Here is a 6,655-nt window from a genome sequence, read left to right as displayed (position 1 = left end):
GCGACAGAGGGAAACTCCGTCTCAAAAAATAATAATAATAAATAAAAATAAAAATACTTTTATTCCTTATCTGGTAATTCTATGCCAGAGTCAGGTTGGAAAGTCAGTCAAGATATATAGGGTTAAATAAAACCCATCTGGCTGGGTGGGGTGGCTCACTCCTGTAATCCCAGTACCTTGGGACCTCAAGTGATCTGCCTGCCTCAGCCTCCCAAAGTGCTGGAATTACAGACTTGAGCCACCACGCCCAGCCCTGCTGGTTGATTTTTTTTTTTTTTTTTTTTGTGACAGAGTTCAGCTCTCTTGCTCAGGCTGGAGTGCAGCTGTGCAATCTTGGCTCACTGTAACCTCCATCTCCTAGGTTCAAGTGATCCTCCTGCCTCAGCCTCCCCAGTAGCTGGGACTACAGGCATGCACCACCATGCCTCGTTAATTTTTGTTTTTGTTTTTTTGTTTTTTTTAAATTTTATATTTTTAGAAGAGATGGGGTTTCACCATATTGACCAGGCTGATCCTGAACTTGTGACCTCAAGTGATACGTCCTCCTCTGCCTCCTAAAGTGCTGGAATTACAGGCATGAGCCACTGCGCCCTGCCTTACTAGTTGGTTTCTTTTCTTTCTTTCTTTTTGACATGGAGTCTCACTCTATCACCAGGCTTGAGTGCAGTGGTGTGATCTCTGTTCACTGCACCTCTGCCTCCCAGGTTCAAGCGATTCTTCTGCCTCAGCCTCCCGAGTAGCTGGGATTACAGGCACACGCCACCACACCCAGATACTTTTTGTATTTTTAGTAGAGATGGGGTTTCACCATATTAGCCAGGATGGTCTCCATCTCCTGACCTTGTGATCTGCCCGCTTCAGCTTCCCAAAGTGCTGGGATTACAGGCGTGAGCCACCACGTCCAGCTGATTTCTAACGAAACATCAGAATTATGCTCTGAATAGGAAATGCAGAGGTGGTACAATCCAATATAAAACAATCCCTCTGTTAGCCAGTCAAGCATATATACACAATCTATAATTTATTTAATTGAACAAATATTTATTGAGTACCTATAGGTGCCAGGCACTTAGGATACATGAGTGAACAAAATAAAGATCCTTGCCCCCACAGAGCTTCATTCTTACAGAATGTACATAATAGTCCCTTGCTTCAAGTTAGTGTCAGAGCTCCCAACTCCAAGTACCAAGGAAGTAAGAGTTCGGAAAGAGTTCCTCTATTCTTTTCATATCAGCTTTCCCATTTATCCTTAATGGGCAGTGGTCCATTTAGGACACCTTCATTTAGGTCCATTGAGCTGCCCTACATGGCCACGCCTCTTTTTTCCCACAAATATACAATCTCCCTTTGGGATCTTCTCTTTCTTTTCTCCTCCCTCCATGACAGAGACTTGCACCCTTTCCCTAGGATCCTATCTCTTTTCTACATTTGGCACAGGCTTGAGCCATTCAGCTCTGCTCCACTTTAGATGAGATCGGGAGTGTATCAATCCTATCCATGGTGTATATACAATCAGACTGTTCACATTGAAAAGACTGCCCTTCTCTGTTAATATTCAAAAACAGTCTCTGTCTGTCTCTCTCCCTGCATTTAGTCACATTGCCAAATATCCCTTCTGTTCCCCATGGCATGTGCTAAATACCCCAGAAAGGGAATGGCACACAAGGAGGAATAAGTCTGTCTTGCAACACTAACTGTGACAGACTCAGGGATGCAGATCATGGTCCAGCCATGGAGTTTCTTATGAGTAATAGCTTTCTTTCTTCTTCTTCTTCTTCTTTTTTTTTTTTTTTTTTTTTTGTTGTTGTTTTTTCAGGTGGAGTCTTGCTGTGTCACTCGGGCTGGAGTGCAGTGGTGCAATCTGGGCTCACTGCAACCTCTGCCTCCCAGGTTCAAGCAATTCTGGTGCCTCAGCCTCCCAAGTAGCTGGGATTACAGGCATGCGCCACCACACCCAGCCAATTTTTCTATTTTTAGTAGAAACAGGGTTTCACTATGTTGACCAGGCTGGTCTCCAACTCCTGACCTCAAGTGATTCGCCTGCCTTGTCCTCCCAGTGGGCTGAGATTAGAGGTCTGAGCCACCACACCCAGCTGTATTATTAATTTTGAATCTATAAATATATATTAAAGATTACTTGTTAAAATGTGAACAGTGGGCCTGGGTTGGTGGCTCACGCCTGTAATCCCAGCACTTTGGGAGGCCAAGGGGGGTGGATCTCTTGAGGTCGGGAGTTCGAGACCAGCCTGGCCAACATGGTGAAACCCCGTCTCTACTAAAAATGCAAAATAGCCAGGCTTGGTGGTTTGCACCTGTAATCCCAGCTACTCAGGAGGATGAGGCAGGAGAATCGCTTGAACCCAGGAGGTGGAGGTTGCAGTGAGCTGAGATCATGCCATTGCACTCCGGCTTGGGCAACAAGAGTGAAACTCCATCTCAAAAAAAAAAAAAAGAATTTAAAAAGTCAAACTCTGAAAATTTCATTTAAATAATTAAATGTGATGCTGAGAGAGATTTTATTTTTATTGTGAATGTTGGGTGTGTGTAATATAAAGAACACCGAGTTGGCACTAACTTTAACGGAAATAAAACTTTGGTGGAGATCTTTTGGAGGATATATCTGGTGCATGATTCTTCCTTTCTCTGAAAATTGTTACTCGTTTCCCAATTCATTAATGGTGGTTCACTTCACGTTTTAGACATGACCCTGCACACTTGGCCCCAGTTGATTAAACAAGGCATGCGCATCTGGAGAGGCAAACCATAAATCATCAAAAAAAAATAAGTAAATTATTTTGTATTCTAGATGGTAAGTTCTATGGGAAAAAGAAAAAAGAATTCCATTTGTTGTCCTTGGCATTTCTTATTTGGACTAAGAGATTCTAGTTTAGTCTGAGCTAATCTAAGATGTAGGCTATGTAAACTCAGAAGATGAGAGGTGGCTGGGTGTGGAGGCTCACACCTATAATCCCAGCATTTTGGGAGGCAGAGGCAGGGAGATCAATTGAGTCCAGGAGTTGGCCTGGCCAACATGGTGAAACACTGTCTCTACTAAAAATACAAACAAGGCTGGGCATGGTGGCTCACGCCTGTAATCCGAGCACTTTGGGAGGCCGAGGCAGGCGGATCACGAGGTCAGGAATTCGAGACCAGCCTGGCCAACATAGTGAAACTCCATCACTACTAAAAATACAAAAAATTAGCCGGGGCTTGGTGGCTGGTGCCTGTAATCCCAGCTACTCGGGAGCCTGAGGCAGGAGAATTGCTTGAACCTGGGAGGCAGAGGTTGCAGTGAGCCAAGATCACACCATTGCACTCCAGCCCAGGTGACAGTGAGAGACTCCGTCTCAAAACAAACAAACAAACAAGCAAACAAAAGATGAGAGGTGATTCTCTACTGCATGTCATGTGGACTGAAAAGCAAAGAAGGAGCTCTTTTTAAAGAGCAAAGTATGAAGGGCCGGGTACAGTGGCTCACACCTGTACTCCCAACATTTTGGAAGGCCAAGGCGGGTGGGTCACCTGAGTTCAGGAGTTTGAGACCAGCCTGACTAGCATGGTGAAACCCCATCTCTAGTAAAAATACAAAAATTAGCCTGGCATGATGGCGTATGCCTATAATCGCAGCTACTTGGGAGCCTGAGGCAGGAGAATCACTTGACCGCAGGAGACAGAGATTGCAGTGAGTGGAGATCATGCCATTGCACTCCAGCCTGGGCAACAAGAGTGAAACTCTGTCTCGGAAAAAAAAAAAGAATGAAGGAGATGTTGAGAGGGAAATTAGGAGTAGAATGTATTGCTGATACCATCTTTCAGTTCTTACCTGACTCCTTTCTTGAAGTCTAGCTGTAATTTTACTTGGGTTCCATGAAGCACCCCTGTTATCATTATTATACATATGATGATGATTTTATATATATATATATATACATTTTTTTCCTTGCTTAAGCTAGCTTAAGTTCATTTCCTTTGCTCCTAGAAACCAAAGAGAACTAACAGCAATAATGGCAATAATATGAACAATATTAACAATAGTAGGCTGTGCACGGTGGCTCACGCCTATGATCCCAGCACTTTGGCAGGCCGAGGCAGGCAGATAATGAGGTCAGGAGTTCAAGACCAGCCTGGCCAACATAGTAAAACCCTGTCTCTACTAAAAATACAAAAAATTAGTTGGGTGTGGTGGCAGGCAACTATAATCCCAGCTACTCTGGAGGCTGAGGTAGGAGAATCACTTGAACCCGGGAGGCGGAGGTTGCAGTGAGCCAAGATCGTGCCATTACTCTCCAGCCCAGGCAACAGTATGAGACTCCGTCTTGAAAAAAAAAAGAAAAAGAAAAAGAAAATAGTAGACAACAGTTATTAAGCACATATTATACTCCAGGCACTGTGTTAAGCACTTTTAGGTACTTTATCTCATTGAGATTATAGGTGTGAGCCACTGTGCCCAGCCTATCCTGTGCTTTCTAAGGACTGAAAAAATAACTGATGTATTCTAGAAATATTTCCAAAAGAGTGGAAAGAAAAGGAGTTTTCTGGTTAAGATTTAATTTATCAAATAATTCAATTAACAAGAAACTTCGTGTATCCTGAAAATTATGATATATCTCAGTTATGATTAGAAAGTGAAATTAGTCCTTAAATTTCCTGCAGACTCTGCTTAATTTTCTTTAGTCTCTAGACAAGTCTCTGCATAACTGAACCCTGTAGAGTTTTCCCAAAACAGTATTTATCTAGGTAGCCCACATTCCAAGAACTGTGCAGTTTCTATAATTACTTGGAAAACTTCATAAGGCAAAAGTTGCGCAAATCCTTGGCACATCTCTCAGACAAGTCAAATAGTGTTGGCTACCAGTTCTAATTTGGTTACATTTCCAGTTAAACTAGAAATTTGAAGTTCAAGTACTTAACAATCTGCTGGGTATTATATAACAACTTTTTTTTTTTTTTTTGAGACAGTCTCACTCTGTCCCCCAGGCTGGAGTGCAGTGGCATGATCTTGGCTCACCGCAACCTCTGCCTCCTGGGTTCAAGTGATTCTTCTGCCTCAGCCTCTCAAGTAGCTGAGAATACAGGCGTGAGCCGCTGTGCCCGGCCTATAATGACATTTGATTGGTTATAAATAATAGAAAGTGTTTCTCTTGGCTGGGCTCGGTGGCTCACACCTGTAATGCCAGCACTTTGGGAAGCTGAGACAGGAGGATTGCTGGAGCTCAGGAAGGAGATCAAGGCTGCAGTGAACTGTGATTGCGCCACTGCACTCCAGCCTGGGCAGAGTAAGACTCTTCCTCAAAAAAAGAAAAACAGGTAGGGAGAAAGCAGTGGTTCACGTCTGTAATCCCAGCACTTTGGGAGGCCAACACGGGTGGATCATCTGAGCTCAGGAGTTTGAGACCAGCCTGGGCTACCTAGTGAGACCCTGTCTCTACAAAAAATACAAAAATAAGCCAGGTATCCTAGTGAGTGCCTGTAGTCCCAGCTACTACTCCAAAGGCTGACGTGGGAGGATTGCTTGGATCCTGGGGGTCCGAGCTGCAGTGAGCCGAGATAATGCCACTGCACTCCAACCTGGGTGATAGTGAAACACCATTTCAAAATAACAAAATAAAACAAAACAAAACAAAGTAACTTCCTTGACTTTTGTCCTTTCAATTTTGCACAACCTCGGTTATTCATTATATACTTCCATTTTTTTTTTTTTTTTTGAGATGGAGTCTCGCTCTGTCCCCAGGCTAGAGTGCAGTGGCGCAATCTTAGCTCACTGCAACCTCTGCCTCCTGGGTTCAAGCAATTCTCCTGCCTCAGCCTCACAAGTAGCTGGGACTACAGGCGCGTGCCACCACACCAAGCTAATTTTTGTATTTTTAGTAGAGGTGGGGTTTCACCATGTTGGCCAGGATGGTCTCAATCTCTTGACCGCATGATCTGCTCACCTCGGCCTCCCAAAATGCTGGGATTACAGGCATGAGCCACTGCACCCGGCATTTTTTTTTTTTTTTTTTGAGACGGAGTCTGGCCCTGTTGTCCAGGCTGGAGTGCAGTGGCGCCATCTCGGCTCACTGCAACGTCCTCCTCCGGGTTTCAAGCGATTCTACTGCCTCAGCCTTCCAAGTAGCTGGGACTACAGGCGCACGCCACCACACCTAGCTGATTTCTGTATTTTTAGTATAGATGGGTTTCATCATGTTGGCCAGGCTGGTCTTGAACTTCTGACCTCAGGTAATCCGCCTGCCTAGGCCTCCCAAAGTGCTGGGGTTACAGGCATGAGAGTCTGGGCCCAGCCTATACTTCCATTCTTCTTCTTCTTCTTTTTTTTTTCAGAGACGCAGTTTTGCTCTGTCACCCAGGCTGGAGTGCAGTGGTGTGATCCCGGCTCATTGCAACCTCTGCCTCCTGGGTTCAAGCAATTCTCCTGCCTCAGCCTCCCAAGTAGCTGTAACTACAGGCGCCTGCCATCACATCCGGCTAATTTTTTGTATTTTTAGTAGACACGGGGGTTTCACCATGTTAGCCAGGCTGGTCTTGAACTCCTGACCTCATGATCCGCCCGCCTCAGCCTCCCAATGTGCTGGGATTACAGGTGTGAGCCACCACGTGCAGCCTATACTTCCATTCTTAAACTGCTTTTAAAACTTTAGTTTGGACTTTTGCATAG

The 6,655-nt window shown here is 44.6% G+C and overlaps 1 annotated feature.

Annotated features, from left to right (window-relative positions):
* Positions 5,625 to 6,322: an enhancer, noted in NCBI's record as "H3K4me1 hESC enhancer chr4:39991585-39992282 (GRCh37/hg19 assembly coordinates)". NCBI's record gives its function as "activates a minimal SCP1, AML or CMV promoter by ChIP-STARR-seq in primed H9 embryonic stem cells {active_cell/tissue: H9 hESC(primed)}" and the evidence as "EXISTENCE:reporter gene assay evidence [ECO:0000049][PMID:30033119]".

Source organism: Homo sapiens, chromosome 4, assembly GCF_000001405.40.
Source record: "Homo sapiens chromosome 4, GRCh38.p14 Primary Assembly".
Taxonomy (NCBI): Eukaryota; Metazoa; Chordata; class Mammalia; order Primates; family Hominidae; genus Homo; species Homo sapiens.
This window is presented reverse-complemented; position numbering and strand designations above follow the sequence as displayed.